This window comes from Homo sapiens, chromosome 3 (genome assembly GCF_000001405.40).
Source record: "Homo sapiens chromosome 3, GRCh38.p14 Primary Assembly".
Taxonomy (NCBI): Eukaryota; Metazoa; Chordata; class Mammalia; order Primates; family Hominidae; genus Homo; species Homo sapiens.
Genome location: NC_000003.12, coordinates 149,496,474 through 149,515,293, shown reverse-complemented (window position 1 = coordinate 149,515,293; position 18,820 = coordinate 149,496,474). Strand labels below are relative to the sequence as shown.

Below are 18,820 nucleotides of genomic sequence, written 5' to 3'. Positions count from 1 at the left end.
CCATACATTATGGGACAAAGAGTTATAGGAGCTCAAGGTAGAGAAGGAAAAGAGTTGTGAACAGTCGCAAATAGGTCCCGATGTCTGAGCCTTATTCACCAAGGAGTTTCCCAGGCATTTCAGGTAAAGGAGACAGCCTACCCGAAAGCACAGAATTTTAAAAGAGGAGTGACAAGAAGGTCTATGGCCCTGGAGAGCGAGAGTGTGAGGGCAATAAGGTGGGAGCTGAGACCGAACAAGGTTGATGGAGAGTAATCCGTGAAAAAGTTTGTATGCTTTGAGTCAGAGTTGGAGTTTATCCTATACAATAGAAGCCACAGGAAGATTTTTAATAGTAGAGTGACTTAAAGAAAACAAGTGAAAAAGTGAAGATGAACCAAAATGGAGAGGAGTTGGCGGCCCTCTCCTTGTACAAGGATCTATTTGGTACTATGAGCATAGGAAGGAATTGAAACCATGGCCTCTGCCTCCACAAAGCTTATATACTACTGTGTATTTAGCACAAAGTTAATGCTAATAAAGATTAGGAGAGAAAGATCATTTGGGGCTTGGTGGTGAGGTAACATCAGGGAAGCCAAGGCAGAGACTTCTGGGAATGGAAAACTGGTAAACAAAGGCACAGGAGGAGAAATGGAAGGGAAACAATATATGCTGACAACCTACTGTGTTCTGGAGCTAGGCGTCATTACTTCCTATATGTGTGTGTATTTTTATTGGAATAGGATTACACTTTAAGAGTCAGGTAGGCAGAATTGACATCTTTATAATTCTAAGTCTTTCGATTCCATCTCTTTTCTCAGCTTTCTCAGAAATGAGATCTGAAGATGAGTAGACAAACAAACGAAACCCTCAGTAACCTCAGTCTTGGAAGTCAGGCACTAATGCCAGCACTATCAGAAATAATAGATACAATTGTAATCTCCTGAGATCTGCTTAAGCTTTTTAGGTCTCATTCTTTATTCTCTTTACCTATAAAAGCCTCCCTTTGCTATGGTCTAAAACTCTCCCATTCTATCTTCTTCCTTAGTGTTTGAACGAATGTTCTACATTTGTTCATGTACACAAACACACACTCTTTTTTTTCTATTTTTTTTTTTTTTTTTTTTGGAGATGGAGTCTAGCTCTACGGCCCAGGCTGGAGTGCAGTGGCATTAGCTCAGCTCAGCTCACTGCAACCTCTGCCTCCTGGGTTCAAGTGATTCTCCTTCCTCAGCCTCCCAAGTAGCTGGGATTACAGGCACCTGCCACCACGTCCAGCTAATTCTTGTATTTTTAGTAGAGATGGCGTTTCACTGTGTTGGCCAGGCTGGTCTCAAACTCCTGACCTCGTGATCCGCCCGCCTTGGACTCCCAAAGTTCTGGGATTATAAGCGTGAGCCCCTGCACCCGGCCCACACTCCTTTTCTTAAAGCACTTCTGAGTCTGATAGCTATAACAGACAGGAGGTTGAGAAACTGATATTTTAACTCTGACTCTAACCTTTATAAATGGCATAACTTCAGCAAGCCAAATTACAAAGCATATTTCTCACTACCCAATCAGAAAAGCTGACACTTCTACCATTAGGATTAGAGTACTCTTTCCAGAAAAAGCCCCCCACCTCCACCAAATATCTTCCCTGGGGAATGATAATGTGATCAATTGGGCTACAAATGGAGAAAACTAATTTGTGGGCTTAGCAGAAGTTAACAGTCATTACTGTCTGCACTCTAGAATGAGAACCAATTTATGGGATTAGCATAGAGCAAAATAAGAGTTTCAGAGTACCAAAATAAGGGTGAAACATTAATTGGGGAAGAGGAGGCCCGGCACATTCCACGTAGCATATTGAGTCCTGGAGAAGGTGAGGTGTGTGAGCACTAGTAAAATGCATGTGTGGGCAGTCTCCTTTACAATTCGCGCTGGGCTTCATTATGACAACAAGTTAAGAAGTTCAGTACTGTGCAGGTATTCATTAATGCCGTGGCCTTAGCCAAGTTTCTTAAAGTCTCAGAACTTAAGTTTCTTTCTTTCTTTTTTTTTTTTTTTTTTGAGATGGAGTTTTGTTCTTGTTGCCCAGGCTGGAGTGCAATGGCCATGATCTTCTCTCACCGCAACCTCCGCCTCCTGGGTTCAAGTGATTCTCCTGCCTCAGCCTCTGGAGTAGCTGGGATTACAGGCATGTACCACCAGGCCCAGCTAATTTTATATTTTTAGTAGAGACAGGGTTTCACCATGTTGGTCAGGCTGGTCTCGAACTCCCGACCTCAGGTGATCCGCCCGCCTCGGTCTCCCAAAGTGATGGGATTACAGGTGTGAGCCACCGTGCCCGGTGGGAACTTCAGTTTCTTTACATGTAAAATTGGCATAATAAAAAAGGGAGGGGTACAATGAGAGAGTGGTGAAGATGAAGAGAAGTGACTTATGTGAAAACCAGTCGTTCATAGATGGTCAATAAATATTCATTCCCTTCTTTGAGCTTTTCCTTCTCTTGGCCCAGGCCATGTCTTTCTCCGCAGCGTTTACCACCATCTAACAGTGAGAGATAACTTACTTTTCGATTGTCCCCCATTAACTTGTCAGCTGCATGAGAGCAGGGATTTTGTTTGCTTTGTACCTAGCACCTTGAGCCATGCCTAACACGGAAACCTTTCCTTTGGACAGTGCAATCTTGGGCTTGTTTGCTGTCACTTCCATGACTTGCATTTATGAGGTTTTTGGAAAATGTTCCTTGATGAGAAAATATTCAAGAAAAATTGGATTATTTAGAAAGATGGGCAAACCTGCTCGCGGAGAAATTATCTGCTTAGTGACCTGTTATCTGCTGCCCTCTAATGGCTGAGCCGAGTCACCATTAGCAGGCGGCAGGTGGCTTTGTCATGGTGTAGTGAGTGACCAGAGCCTGGCTCAGGGGGTGCAGCCGACCAGGGCTGGGAATAGGATGGGGCATTGCTGAAGGGGGAAGGAGAAAGACATGCAGAATACAGACGTGTTTGTTTCCTTCTTTGCACTGACCTATGTGTCCTTTGGTGAGGAGTTCTATGGCTTTTGAGTCAGAATAAAGTTATTAAGTACAAAGAGAAAAAAAAACAAAAAAAACTAAAGTCATTTTCAGAGCAGGGTTCACAGTAGAGTCAATGGCTCACCTGCCTTAGAATTTCCCAAGTTGTTGGTGTAACTGTGAATTTCTCAGACCTCCTGAACCTGAAAGAGACTGAGGTCTGAGACTCTGCATTTGTTCGGTGAGCTTCCATGTGATTCTGGTGCAGTCAAGTTTGACACCTAAGGAGTAATCTCCAATTTTTTTTTTCATCATGGAGCCCCGATGTATGTATGTTTGCTTGTTTATTTTTTAATGTTATAAATTAAATACAAAATGACTGTTCTAGTGTATTGTGTACATTATAAAACATTCACAAAAATGGAAATTTTTAAAGAATAAAAAAATACATTAAAGTTTACATATGAACTTCCCATGCCACATTTTGGATGAGTATAATTTATGATTAAATGTTATGTAACTGATCCTTAGGGTGATTATGATGGCACAACATTCATTTTCCCAAGTTTGTGGCCCCAACATCAATAGGCAGCAGGATTATCTGCAGAGGTTTTATTTCTGCTTCAATAGCATCACGGGAATTCTCTTTCTTCCCCTCTCCCTGTTTTTCTACCTCTCCACAATATTCACATTTGATGCTGGGAAAAGTTGTCATGTTTACTCTCTTTACCAAGCTGATGCTCCTAGTATTGCAATTTCTTGGTAGGAAACTGAGTGTGGACTGGTAAGGGTGTTGGCATCATATAGCCTGCAATGCCCAGGTGCTTAAGCAAACACAAATATACACCCTTGGGACTACTCCAAGACTGAACCAGTTGCAAAATCATCTCCTGTGAAACCCTGCCTAGAAAAAGCTTTCAATGCATAATTAGACTCTAATCTGGCTCTTAATTTTTCTGGGGTCATGGATCTTTAAGAATGCGATGAAATCTTCAGGCTCTCCAAGGCTGGGAAAAAATAATTCATGTGACCGTAGGTACTATTTAAGAGAGTGTAAACACTTCTGCAGTTCTCAAAGTGTGGAATCTGGGCTGGCAGCATTAGCATCATTAAGGAACTTAATAGAAACGTCCAGCAGGGCATGGTGGGGTAGGTCTGTAATCCCAGCATTTAGGAGGCCAGTGTAGGAGGATAGCTTGAGGCCAAGATAGGAGACCAGCCTGGGCAACACAGCAAGGCCCCATCTCTACAAAAAGAAGGAGGCTGGGTGCAGTGGCTCACACCTGTAATCCCAACACTTTGGGAGGCCAAGGCAAGTGGATCACCTGAGGTCAGGAGTTCAAGACCAGCTGGCTAACACGGTGAAACCCTGTTTCTACTAAAAATACAAAAAATTAGCCGGGCGTGGTGGTGTGCACCTGTAATCCCGCTACTCGGGAGGCTGAGGCAGGAGAATCACTTGAACTCATGAGGCGGAGGTTGCAGTGAATGGAGATAGCACCATTGCATTCCAGCTTGGGCAACAAAAGAGAAACTGTCAAAAAAGAAAGAGGAAGAAAGAAAGAAAGAAAAGAAAGAAAGAAAGAGAGAGAGAGAGAAAGAAAGAGAGAGAGGAAGAGAGAAAGAAAGAAAAGAAAGAAGGAAAGGAAGGAAGGAAAGAAAGAAAGAAGGAAAGAAAGAAAGAGGGAGGGAAAAGAAGGAAGGAAGGAAAGAAGAGGAGGGAGGGAAAGAAAGAGAAAGACAGCTAAAGAAAAAGAAAAAGAAAGGAAAAGAAAGAAAAGAAAAGAAAGAAAAAAAAAGAAGCAATACTCGACCCCCAAGCCTACTGAATCAGCAACTCTGGGGTGGGAGCTGGCACTCTGTGTTTAGCAAACCCCCCAGGACTCGAGTTTGAAAACACTCCAGAACAGTTCTCCAACCTGCTTCCTTATTAGAATCACCTGGTGAGTTAAAAATAAAAAGGACTGATGTCTGATGCCTGGCCTCCAAACTCACTTAATTAAATTAATATACCTGGAAGTGGGGCGGGAATGGACACTGGGATTTTTAAAAGCTCTGCAAAGGAGCTAAGCTCTGTAGACCCAGGCTACTTTTCTCTCCTCCTCCTCCTCCTCCTTCTTCTTCTTCCTTTTAGAGACAGGATCTTGTTCTGTTGCTCAGGCTGTAGTACACTGGTGCAGTCATAGCTCACTGCAGCCTCGAACTCCTGGGCTCAAGTGATCCTCCTGCCTCAACCTCCCAAAGTGCTAGGATTACAGGCATGAGCCACTGCGCCTGGCCCCAGGCTACTTATGACAACTCCAAAACCAGAGCATGATAGCACTAAAGAGGAACTTAGCAACAGCCTGACTCAATTGCTCTCATTTACTGAGAAGGAAACTGAGGCCCAAAGAAATGGGGAGGTTTTCCAAGGCTACACCATTGCTGAGTATCACAGTTAGCACCCAGCTCTCCTTCTCTCCCTGCTCCAGGAAAGGCCACACAGGGAAATATTGAAATCAAAGCACTGTGGAAGAAGCCTGGAAAGTTAAGTTATGCAAGTTTAAAAGTAGCCTGGGAGGTTTAGCGGCTGATCATTGACATCAGCCTCCAGGGGATTTTCCCCTTTGGCCCCATCTCATCAGTACTTGCTGCTCCTTTTCATACAGCTTGGTTCCTTGAGCTTCTCCTTGCCTGACCAGTGGAGTGCAGGAGAGCTGTAGTTCCGCCATTGGACGTCTTTGTGTTGACACTTAGGGGGACAGGCAGGACAGCCAGGTGGTGGGGAGCTTGGACTTGAGGTACAGGTGTCCTAGGTTTAATGCCTGTTCTGCCATGACTAGCTCAGTGTCCTTGGCTTGTTGTGCAACCTCTTCAAGCCTCAGTTTCCTCAGCTTTCAAGTAGGGTGATAATAGCACAGCTATCCCTGAAGGACATGTTTGTACCAGAGTGAGAGCTCTTGGTGGGAAGGTGGGCAGGGGAGAAGGGACAGGATCAGCCCATCACAGAAGGCAGAGATCACAGGGAGTTGCCTTTTCTTTTCTTTTAACTCTGAGGATTATAGAAGCCTGTCTCTGCATTCTGGCCTCTTACACACAGACAAAGTAAAACCACTAAATAGAATGACTTGGGAAATAAAAAGCATAGGAATAAGTGCAGGCTGCTATGTGCAGTTCTCTTCATGAGAGGTGCTTTGAGTAATCATATAAAAATACTGATATTGATTATATTTTAGTTGATAGTTTTCCCTAATTCAGGTGAAATGAACAGTAAAAATTATGCCACTAAAAAGAGTAACACTTTGGCCGGGTGCGGTGGCTCACTTCTGTAATCCCAACATTTTGGGAGGCCGAAGCGAGTGGATCACTTGAGGCCAGGAGTTAGAGGCCAGCCTGGCCAACATGGTGAAAACTTCATCTCTACTAAAAATACAAAAATTAGCCGGGTGTGGTGGTGGGCACCTTGTAATCCCAGCCACTCGGGAGGCTGAGGCAGGATAATCACTTGAACCCGGGAGGTGGAGGTTGCAGTGAGCCGAGATCGTGCCACTGCACTCCAGCCTGGGCTACAGAACGAGACTCTGTCTCAAAAACAAAACAAAACAAAACAAACAACCCCAACAAGCAAAAACAAAAAACACTTTTTATTATTTTCAGTTCTATGTAGGAATCCAAGCATTCCTTCCTAGATGATTTTAGAATTGGTGAGATATCTAGCTCAGTGGTGGAGGGAGTGGACTCACCCTCAGTCAGACCATTTATTTGGCTTTGGATCCTGAATTTCCTATTTGCTGTTTATGGGACCCTGGGAAAGTTATTTATTTTTTCTAAGCCTCACTTTACTTTTATGCAAAATGGGGCTTATCGTTGTTTCTATATCATAGGCTTGTGTCAAATAAAAACAAACATGCACTTAGATAAGGAGAAACACTACTCAAAAGGACTATTGCAATAGGGAAAACACTCCAATCTCAGGAATTTGCAAATGTCTCAGAGACAAACAGAAAAAGATTTTCTTTTATTGGGAGAGGTAGGCAGAGCTTAGCAGAAACGGGAAGTTGGGCAAGCAAGGGGGCAGAGACTGACAGGAACAGTTCTCTGGCTAAGCTGATAATGGGGATTTTCATGCCAGCTCAGGCTTTGGGGCAAGCAGAGCTGGGGCCTGACTAAAGTGTGGTCATGACAAAGCAGAGGGTAAGAAACGGGCAACTGTGAACATGTGGTCAATCACTTGGTCAATCACATCACTTACCAAGGTCTGGGGTTATTTTTATTATGAACGGCCCGATTCCAAAATGCTTGAGCAGCCCTTTCATTTTCCCTTGAGCAGAATAACTTTGTCACACCATCATAACAATGATAACATCCCACTGAGTGAGCACCTACCATGTGCCAGGCCCAGCGCTTGAAAGAGATGCAAACGTTGATGAGATAGTCTCTGAGTTCTCAGTCCAGGGGGAAGAACAAGTTTGGTGACCTAATGTGACACAGGCAATCAGACACGTACAGCGTGTCATGGGAGAATGTGGCAGGTTTTCCGTAGTGTAGAGGTTGAGAAACCCTGACCTAGACTAAGAAACCACACACACACACAGACAAGAAAACTAAAAAGCCACTCTCTTCTCTACATCGGGTACAGCAGTTTGATAATGTGCCAGGCTAAACAGAACTACATTTCCCCAAATTCCCTTTCCTGTGTTTCCTGTTAGGGCGCGCCGCAGGAGGGATTCTTGAAAGTTTTGGAGGCAGAAGAGAAGGAGTATCTGCTTTTTAGCTTGCATGCACGGTTGCTATCCACTGCCTCCCCTCACTGACACAGGACTACTGGGCCTGCAACTGTTCATCTTCCCCAGGATTCTCCTTCAGTGCCTGGGTCTCCTGGGCCAGCCAGTGTGTCTTTAGCTCCGTGACAAAGGGCTCCAGCTTCTGCAGGCACCCATACCGTCAGAGGCAACAAGAATGAAAAGGGTTCCAGTCCACCCTCATGGCTCCAATTCGTGCTTATGGGTTACAGCTTGTTCTTCTCTCTCAGGCTTTACATCCAAATCTGACTGCCCTGTTGATTGCCTGCTCTGTGGACTTCAAGATCCAGCATCAGTCACAAAGACGACTCTCTGACAGAGACTGTTTAACTAGTTCCAACAATTATGTAAGGTCAAATCCCTGTAGCAAATTTGTGTGTGTGTGTGTGTGTGTGTGTGTGTGTGTGTAGACATAGGTATTTGATCTCTGATTGAACCCTGACTGATACATTGGGTTAAAGTCAAGGTCACACTATTAATGTTTCTAACACAGGAAAAGGTAATTTTGTAGAAAGGTGGATATTTGCCCCCCTGGGGCCAATATCAGTGGTCCTCCCTCATTAATTGTTCTAAACCCTGGATGTATTCTTTTCTTCTTTTCTTTTCTTTTCTTTCTTTTTTTTCCCTAAATCATCTTTGGATGCTTAGACTGGGAATAAATTATGGTGTGTCCTAGAATTCTCTTTCCTGCATTTTAAGAGTTGAGTGCCAAGGCAGTTATTCCATGTCGTGGTGACTAAATTGGAATGTACTGCAAGTGTTTTGATTTCTTTTTTATGAGATCAAACCAGAATCTTCAGCCATATCCTGTTGCCTCCTGGTTCTCTGTAGATTAAAGAATCATGTTTGTTTTGGAATGCTCTATTTAACCCTTTGTTTTTTTTACCCCCATCTGGAGATCCTCTAGAGCCTCTGTGTCTTCCTTAATCTGCTCAGAGCAGAGCTGTCCTCAGACACTACTGGGTTTGAACAGTGAGAGGAGAAGCTGGATGTCACTCACACTAACTTTGTTCAGCACCTTGTTATAATGGCTTTTTGCCGACAACTGTACATGTGGCTGATGTGTTTGAGTATGATCCACAAATTCGTTTCATCCCTTTTTTCCCATCATCACCAATAGCTCAGGTCCATCAGCATATTATGTATATGTAGCTGGGTGATATTTTGAGATAATAATTTAGGTTTTGTCTTGCTAGTATTTCTCTTTTTCCTTTCCTCTATTCAAGTGGATTGTTGGCCCTGTGCTCATCAGCCCAGTAGAATGCTAAGGCAGGGTGGAAAATCCCAAGAATGACCCAAGGTAAAGCCTGGTCAATGGCATTCAGAGCTAGAAAGCAAATGTGGTTATAGAAAATATAATTTTAGTTTTTATACTCATGGATCTGTGTACTGAGACCACTCCGGCCTCATGTTTAATTTTCACATAGACATCCACTTTCCTACTTGTTTTGTCAACTCTTTTTTAAAATTATTGTTATTATTATTTTTTTTTAGATGGAGTCTCATTCTGTCACCCAGGCTGGAGTGCAGTGGCATGATCTTAGCTCACTGCAACCTCCGCCTTCCAGGTTCAAGCAATTTTCCTGCCTCAGCCTCCTGAATAGCTGGGATTACAGACACCCACCACCACATCCGGCTAATTTTTGTATTTTTGGTATAGAAGGGATATCACCATGTTGGCCAGGCTGGTCTCGAACTCCTGACCTCAAGTGATCTGCCCACCTCGGCCTCCCAAAGCGTTGGGATTACAGGCATGAGCCACTGCGCCCAGCCTTAAATTACTTTTTTAGGTTTTTTTTTTTAGCCTGTCACTCAGGCTGGAGTGCAGTGGCATGATCACGGCCTCCACCTGCCATGCTCAGTGAATCCTCCTGCCTCAGCCTCCAAGTAGTTGGGACTAGAGTCATGTGTCACCACGCTTGGCTAATTTTTCTGTTTTTTTGTAGAGACAAGGTCTTACTATGTTGCTTAGGCTGGTCTTGAACTCTGGGCTCAAGTGATCCTCCTGCTTTGGCCTCCCAAAGTGCTGGGATTACAGGTGTGAGCCACTGCACCTGGCCTTGTCTATTCATTTTTGAAATCTTCTTCAGTTTATTTCAGGGCAAAGGACACTACTTCACTTAGAGAGTGCAGGAGAAAGAAAATTAAGAGCTCTGGGCACCTCCATTCACACAACAAATTTATGAATTGCCGAATATGTGCTAGGTTAGGTACTCCTAGTACCTAGACTTGAATCAGAATATGTGCTAGGTTAGGTACTCCTAGTACCTAGACTTGAATCAGATTCTTTTCTTGCTTCAAGTAACTTGTAATCCAAAGCATAGAAAAATAAAGAAATGTACTCCATTAAGCAAAATGAAGATGGCAACTCCCATAACAGAAGTCTCTGGACAGTCTGAAGACCATCCTTGAGGTGTGTGTGTGCATCTGGAGGTCTCTAAGGGAGAGGCGCATTCATCTTTACTCTTTGTTTCCTGTCTCTTCCTTTTAAGTCTTCTTATCCATGGTAAGCAATTTCCTGTAATTTTATGGTAACTGGTTTTGAAAAATGGCCTTTTGTGAAAACTCGTCAAAGGTTATTTCAGTTCTTCATCTATAAAATAATGAGAGCAGATTTCATGATGACTACAATTTCTTTTTATCTAAAATAATGAATCCCTGCAAACCCCTGGATAAAGAATTGATGCCTCTTAGCCACATTCAAATTCCCTCATCAAAGAACTCAGGCAAGTGAATCAGTCCTAATAGCCCGACATCTCTGATCTTCCGGGACACCATTATCCCGGAACATCATTACCTGGGTCACCGTTTAGTATTTAGCATGTACCACCTTGTATTAATCTGTGATATGTGAGCTCCTGGTGGGCAGTAATGGGATCTGACTCAGTCTTCATCCTTGTGCCTGCAGGTGATGTTCTAAGGCAATGGTTGCTCAGAGTAGCTGGTTTTCGACATCACCTGTTGTGCTTTAAAAAATGAAATGACTGGCAGGGTGCGGTGGCTCATGCCTGTAATCTCAGCACTTTGGGAGGCTGAGGCGGGCAGACCACCTGAGGTCTGGAGTTTGAGATCAGCCTGACCAATGTGATGAAACCCTGTCTCTACTAAAAATACAAAAATTAGCCAGGCGTGGTGGTGGGTGCCTGTAATCCCAGCTACTCAGGAGGCTGAGGCAGGAGAATCTCTTGAGCCCAGGAGGCGGAGGTCACAGTGAGCCAACATGGCTGCGCCACTGCACGCCAGCCTGGGTGACAGACAGCGAGACTCTGTCTCAAAACAAACAAACAATAACAACAAAAAAAAAAAAAAGAAAAGAAAAGACTGACAAAAAAAACAGACTTCCATGTCTCATGCCCCGATTTGCAAATGCAGTGAGTCTAGGCTGTAGCTCAGAAATCTGTAATTTCAGAACATTTCCTAGGTAATTTTGATGATCAGCCATGTTTGAAAACAAATGGTCTAAACTGAATCGAAACACCGTGTGTGTGTGTGTGAGTGTGTGTGTGTGTGTGTGTGTATAGTTCCCGCAACGAGATCTTCAGTGTATCTGCCTTTCTTGCCTCTGCCTATTAAGTTTCAGATGTCAGACACAATCCCTGATCTCATAGAGTTCTCATTGTAGTGAGGGCAAAACTACAGCGTGTAACTCTTTGTATCTTCAGTGCCTAGCCCCGCGGGGGCCAGCACACAGTAGGTGATCATTAATTACTTTATTGATGGCTTTGACAAACCCAGTTTTCAGTGTGCCTGACCTACGTGGTGCAGCCTATTAGCTTGGCAAGGGCAGAAGGGAGACTTTCTGGCTTGGACTTCCCTGAGACCCTTCTTATTGCACACAGTCACGTTGGCAGCACACAGGCCTTTGCTTCACCCTTGGCAACTTCAAAATTTCCAGTATGACTGGTTGTCTCTCAGGTGTCCTTTTACAGATGGGGAAACTGAGACTTTGAAAATAACTGTCCCGGGACCCCTAAGCTGGTTTGTGGTGAAGTTGGGGTTTGAACACAAATCAACAGAATGGATCTGATGCCCTGTTAGTGCCTGACTCATAAAGCCAGTTAGTCTTAATAAGACACATAGAATACTAATACTTATTACCTTAACCCTGGGCAATAGGCTGACAAAATTATTACTTAAATCAATTTTTTAAAAACTTTTTTTTGTTTGATCAAAGGAAGCATTTGTAGAAAAGATGAGTTGTTATTCATTCAACGTTTTGTCCCCCCTCCTAAAACACACACAATCTTTGTTACGTTACCTCTGAATTCAGGTTTTAATTTAACATACATAAAAGAACCCTAGCCATGATGACAGCCTCAAAAGATCAGTCACAAGCAACTCAAGCAAGGCAGCAAAAAAAGACAACAAATAACAATACTTAGGATACATCAATCATTCTTTTTCCTCTTAAAAACAGAAATTGGTCTTAGTTTCTCATTTTAAATGTGCTTTCTTCCTTTGATTTATGTAAAACTTCCAAAGATATAAACATCTTTATATACAAAGAAGTAGTATGGCAGTACATGTGACTTTATACATTTTACATTTGTAATAAAAAAATCATGAAAAGTATGCTTTGAACCTGTTGGTAAATTCTAAAAAGGAACTAATTTGAAAGATTTATAAATCAAATTTGTTAAGTGGCCAAACTATTTTTTATTTGAAAATAACAAAATTCTAACTCGAGCAAAGCTGGTTGGAAAGAAGGAATAACTGCCTTTTCTAAGCTTTATCAGCTAGGAAGCAGATAGGAATTAATAATTCCAAGAAGAGAAGAAGTTTTATGAAAAGAAATTGTAGTCGTCATGCTGTAGAGTCTGAGCAGCTCATCTCGGAGGTTTAAACGGGTCCATCTCCCTAGAAGGTAGAAAAGGTGAATTAACTATGATGTCATGATTTATGTAAATTTTTGCTTTTCCCCTCCTTCCCATCCCCATCACCTGCCTTCCTCCTGGCTCTTAATGGTTGCCTATTGAATGTTTCCTATACTTTTCTGGCTTTGTTTCAGGGCTTTACTCTGGCACCCACCTGTGTTGAGGTTATAGGAATGGAAGCTTCATTTTGTTTTGCATCATGTATTTATTTATTTAGTCCTCAAGGAAGTTACATTTTATTTATTTATTTTTGTTTTATTTTGTTTTTAATTTTTTTAAATTTCAATAGCTTTTGGGGTACAAGTGGTTGTTGGTTCTGTGGATGATGAATTAGGTACTGATGAATTCTGAAACTGCAGTGCACCCATCACCTGAGGAGAATACATTGTATACAATATGCATCATTTATTTAAAAAAATAATTTGGTAAGAGGTGCTGAGAGACCAAGTGCTATGTGGAAAGCCACCACTAACAAGTAGGAGAGCTGGGATTTGAACCAGGGAGGCAGAACCCAGAGATTGTGTTAAAGGAAACTTGAAGCTATGCTACCTCACTGACTTTCATAAGGTTAGTAAATAACATTCAATGCCATTTACTGAGCCTTCTAAGGATTCAAATGAATTCATGCTTGTCACCCTGTACTAGGCACTCCATTGACAACCGTAGGAGTAGGTATTAATAGCCACATTTTACAGACAAGGAGCAGTTGAGGGCTACTGACTGGGCCAAGACCACACAGCTGACATTCAAACCAGGTCTCATAGCATGTATTTTAAGGCACATTCCCAACTACCACTTCATTTAAGGACTGTGCCAGGCTCAGGAAGCTCTCAGTAAATACTTTCCGCCTGAATGGATAGATGTTGATCTTACACTCTCTCCATAAGTTAGGCAAGAGGCAGTTGGAATAACTGAGACTATGAGAAGTTAGTCAGCTTGCTGGAGTCACTCAGCTAGTAAGCTGTGGAACTAGGCTGAGAGCCCAAGTCTTTCCTCAGTGTCCTACTGGGGCAGGAATGCTGACCAGCCCCATGAGAGGCCAGCTGCCCAAGAGAAAGGAATCTTCAGCAGACTGACTTTAAAACTGCAGCTCTTGTGCACTGAAATATTTAGTAGTGAAACTTTGTGATGTCCAAAAATTACTTTCCAAGAGTCCAGAAACAGAGAGGGTGAGAAAATATTAAGAATTTTGTGAACATGGGTGAAAGTATACAGGTGTTCATTGCACCATTCCTTCAACTTTATGTAGATTTGAAGTTTTCAAAATAGAAAGTTGGAGGAGGAGTGGGGAGAGAGACAGAGAGGAGAGATGAAGGGAGGGAGGAAGAAAGGAAGGGAAAAAAATGGACAATTCTTGTGTGTACATTCACCCTCTGTGAGTCTCTGGTGCCCATGCACTGATAACCATGGAGTCCATCTACTGTCTTTCAACCTATCGAGTGACTCAGTTATTAAGTTCTCCAAAATATGGTATCCAAATAAATGAAACTCACTAAAAGGAACCAACGTGCTGACACCTATGAATGTGTTTTTAAATTGAGAGATAATTCTCAGATTTAGCAAAGTATTATCAACAATTCAAAGAGTAATCATATTTTCTTTCTTTCTTTCTCTCTCTCTCTTTTTTTTTTTTTTTTGGAAAGGTCTTGTTCTGTTATCCAGGGTGCAGTGCAGGGGCAAGATCTCAGCTCATGCAGCCTCAGCATCGTGGGCTCAGCTGATGCTCCCAGCTCAGCCTCCTGAGTAGCTGGGACTACAGGTGCATGCCACCACATCTGGTTAATTTTTTGTATTTTTAGTAGAGATGGGGTTTCACCATGTTGCCATGGTCAAGACCAGTTCAAAGCTGGTCTTGAACTTTTGGGTTCAAGTGATCTTCTTGCCTTGGCCTCCCAAAGTGCTGGGATTACAGACATGAGCCACCATGTCCAGCCAAAGTAATCATATTTTCAATAAATCTTGCAAAGAAAATTTACCACCCAGCTAAAATATGTAGAAACTGAAACTTCAATATATAATTTAGCAAACATTCATTCACTTTGGATGAATTACAAGATATAAATGCTCAATATTTTCAATCACTATCATAAAAATAATTTTGGTGGATTACTAGTTGGTAGTTGCTTTTCCTCTCTAGTATGTTTAAAGACCAAAACATTTGAATACAATACAGTAGAACTGAAAATTTGTAGAATAAAAATGCAATACACAGTGAAATTTATTTGTAATACACACATTTTACTGCTGATTTGGGGGACTTATTTATATTTTTCATTGAAAAAAGTAATATATAATTATTAAAATTTTTTAATACTATAGGCTAGATTAAAGGAAAAAAGTCAGTCTTCTTACCTAGAAATAATGATTATTTAACTTTTGGTTGGATTTCCTTTAGTTTTTTGTTTTATTTTTCTATTCACAGAATTTTGTTTTTTCCTCCTTGTATAATTGTATATTAAGTACAATTTTTGTATCCTGCTAATAACAGTATCTCATAAGGATTTTCAATATTACTGCAATTTTGGGGGAAACATTCTTTTAAGATAGGGAGAATAAAATAATAAAAAGAGATACTGTGACAAGCTATATAAGAAATTAGGTAACCTTACCTAGGTGAGGAGATTGGAGGGAACTGGCTGGATAGAAGACAAAGGCCGGAGGGAGACTTTCCAACTGAATACCTTTATATATTTCTCTGTGTGTGTATACATGTACATATTTAGTTTTTGAGTTATATACATGTAATGCTTATTTAAAATAAATGTATTTATTTATTTATTTATTGAGACAGGGTCTCACTCTGTCACACAGACTGGAGTGCGGTGGTGAGATCTCGGCTCACTGCAACCTCTGCCTCCCAGATTCAAGTGATTCTCGTGCCTCAGTCTCCTGAGTAGCTGGAGCTACAGGCATGTGCCACTATGCTTGACCTTCTTATTTAAAATTTAAATAAAATAATTTGAGTCTTTTAAAGTTTTACCATAATATTAAGTGAATAGACCTTTATTTACATATATTTACATAATCCCCCAGTTAGGGAACCCTCAAGTTTTATTTTTTTCTTCATACATCAATCTGTGCTTGTAATAACTTTGTGTATGTGTGTGAATAATTGCCTAATTTGATTTGGGTATTAGTTGAAATAATCAGACTGTCTTACTGTCTGCAAGTCTGTTTTTATTTTTAGTAATTTGTTGTTGGTATTTTACAATATTATTTAGAGACTAAAGCCTGAGTGATTTCCCTTTTTTCTTCCCATATAAGAACTACCTCTTTTTCTGTATCAGAAATCATATCAAATATAGGTTTTGCATTGGTATGTTCTGTTCATCTGAGGAAGTGAGAACATGCCAGCCCAGACCGTGATGTACTATCGCTGACACTGTACCCATATGACAAATGCTCACTTCAGGTGGATCTTCATATAAACATCATTGTAAATGTTTATATATAGACAGAGTCCTTTGTCTCTAGAACTACGGTCAACTGGATGTGAGGCTGAAAATTATGGCCAACTTCAGCCTGGGTGTTTTAACATGCTCTGGGTTCCAGTAATGCAATGTGTCTGTCTCCATGAGCTGACAGACAGGGCTGACTGGGCTTCCCAACCTGGGCTGGTTTTCTGCAGGTGGCCACACTTACCCCCTCATTCCTTCAGTGCTGGTGGCCTGACCTGGCCTCCCTTATGCTAGTGGCCTGACCTGGCCTCCCTCATGCTGAGAAGAAACAGCAAAAGCCTGAACTTACCCCACAGCAGCCACAACACTGGCAGTCCCCACAGAGGGTCCCCAGGAGGCCATTGACCACCTGGATGGCGCAGAGAACCATCTGGATTCCTCCTACGACCAGCAGGATGGAGAAGAGGGTCAGATTCCAGGGAACCACATTGAGAGGCTCTCGGCACTTGTTCCATAAGGCCTCATCATTGAGATAATCCCTGTTGGTGATATAGGGGACAAAGGAAACATTTGTAAAAAGTGTGCAATTCCCTCCACTAGAAAGTTACCATAACAATGTTTCTCATGCACTACTTTCCACCCAAAACTAGCTTCACGAGAAAATACTCTGTACTAACAATTTAAATACCACAAAATGTACAGTTTTTATTGAGTACACCCTGTGTGCCAGACCCTGTTCTAATCACTTCGCACATATTCACTCATTTATTCCCCAAAGAAACCTCTGGGTTCTCTTTTTCGGTTTCACAAATAAGGAAGCAGAGGCACAGAGAGGCTAAGTTACTTTCTCCCAGGTCACAGAACTGGCAGAACAATTTTCATTAGCTGTCCAAAAAGACAGGCAAATTCACCATCTATGATGGGGACAGGAAAATAGAGACACTCCAGCAGTAGAATTTCACAAATGTTCACAGCTTTATCCTAGCTATCATTGTTAGAGACCGTTTTGACTTTTGACAGATGACTTGTCAAGTGTAGTGGCCATCTGAAGCCATGTAAAGTACAAATGTGTCATATAGCTAAAGGGAAGAGCCTGATTTCAAGGCCTAATTTTAACCAAATTGTGAATTTGACTCACTATATTTTTGTTAACATGTAGGAATCTCTCACACACAAAGATGTAATTAATTTTCTTCAAAAGGAACAAATAGTCTGTTGCCTTAATACATGTTTTACATAAGCTGTGAATTAGGAGAAACTGCAATATATTTATATTTTATTATATAAAGAGTTTATTGCAATATAAAGGGCATTGTGGCCGGGCGCGGTGACTCACACCTGTAATCCCAGCACTTTGGGAGGCCAAAGTGGGCAGATCACCTGAAGTCAGGAGTTCGAGACCAGCCTGGCCAACATGGCAAAACCCTGTCTCTTCTAAAAATACAAAAATTAGCTGGGCATGCTGGTGGGCACCTGTAATCCCAGCTACTCAGGAGACTAAGGCTGGAGAATTGCTTGAACCCGGGAGGTGGAGGTTGCAGTGAGCCAAGATCATGCCATTGCACTCCAGCCTGGGCAACAAGAACGAAACTCCATCTCAAAAAATAAAAATAAAGGGCATTGTGCCTTGAAGGATAAATGTGAAGTGTACGATTTTGAGACAAAAATGAGTAAAGTGGTAAAATCTTGTGGAATATTATGACTCTTTACATTCTTAGAGCCCCAAATTGGTCTCTTTGTTTCCTCCATCCTTTCAGAGCCTTAATGAAAAACTCTTTATCTATCTACTGAATTAATGTTGATGTTATTGTTTTTAGATCTTTATGATAACCTTCACAGAAAAGGAAGGAATGAACATTTTGCTTTTGATTTCAAAATAAAACATTGTTTATAGCATTGATTCATCTTTCCATAAGAGTACAGGTACTAGCAGCTTGCTAGCTGTGTGCCTTGTGTACTTACCTATAAAATGGGAGTTACATTATCATATCTTAGGGTTATTGTCAGGACTATGTGAGTTAGTATGAGTAAAGTGCTTAGATCAGTGCTTAGCATATAGTAAGTCCTCAATAAAGGCTAGTATTGTCATTATTTTACTTAATCTAAGCAGTCTAGTCTAATGGAAAGAGCTGGTATTTTGGATTCAGATGTACCCGGGTTTGAACCCAAGCATTCCCCTTACTAGCTATGTATTCCTCATGCAAGTTACTCACTTCCTTTAACATCAGTTTCTTTTTCTCTTTTTTTAAAAAAATAGACACGGAGGTCTCACTATACTGCCCAGGCTGGTCTCAAACTCCTGAGGTCAGTCCTCCCACCTTGGCTTCCCAAAGTGCGGTGATTACAGGTGTGAGTCACCACGCCCAGCCAGCATCAGTTTTTTTTTTTTTTAATCTATATAACAGACTAAGAACCACATCACAATTGTGAGAATTCACTGAGATGACATACCTTCTGTATAGTTGTGTGAGATTGTCCTTTTTTATTTTTTTGAGACGGAGTTTCGCTCTTGTTGCCCAGGCTGGAGTGCAATGGCACAATCTCGGCTCACTGCAACCTGTGCCTCCCGGGTTCAAGCGGTTCTCCTGCTTCAGTTTCCCGAGTAGCTGGGATTACAGACACATGCCACCACATCCGGCTAATTTTGTATTTTTGGTAGAGGCGGGGTTTCTCCATGTTGGTCAGGCTGGTCTCGAACTCCCGACCTCGGGTGATCCGCCCAAAGTGTTGGGATTACAGTTGTGAGCCACGGCATCTGGCCGATTGTTCTTTTCAGTACTTTTTTTT

At 41.8% G+C, this 18,820-nt stretch overlaps 1 protein-coding gene across 1 annotated transcript in view, besides 2 other annotated features; it reads right to left on the bottom strand.

The window, feature by feature from the left end:
* Window positions 2,728–2,827: a silencer, noted in NCBI's record as "silent region_14805". NCBI's record gives its function as "represses an Ori minimal core promoter by ATAC-STARR-seq in GM12878 lymphoblastoid cells {active_cell/tissue: GM12878}" and the evidence as "EXISTENCE:reporter gene assay evidence [ECO:0000049][PMID:35858748]".
* The window catches only part of TM4SF4 (transmembrane 4 L six family member 4), a 28,698-nt gene continuing 21,777 nt past the window's right edge, over window positions 11,900–18,820 (bottom strand). The window contains exons 4-5 of the mRNA NM_004617.4: window positions 16,383–16,572; window positions 11,900–12,618 (exon numbers count right to left, since the gene is read on the bottom strand). Coding sequence (NP_004608.1) covers window positions 12,601–12,618; window positions 16,383–16,572 — 208 coding nt within the window. The 3' untranslated portion in view covers window positions 11,900–12,600. The remainder of the gene's footprint in view (window positions 12,619–16,382; window positions 16,573–18,820) is intronic.
* Window positions 13,278–13,572: a silencer, noted in NCBI's record as "tiled region #15061; K562 Repressive non-DNase unmatched - State 22:ReprW". NCBI's record gives its function as "represses a minimal TATA promoter and a strong SV40 promoter by Sharpr-MPRA in K562 cells {active_cell/tissue: K562}" and the evidence as "EXISTENCE:reporter gene assay evidence [ECO:0000049][PMID:27701403]".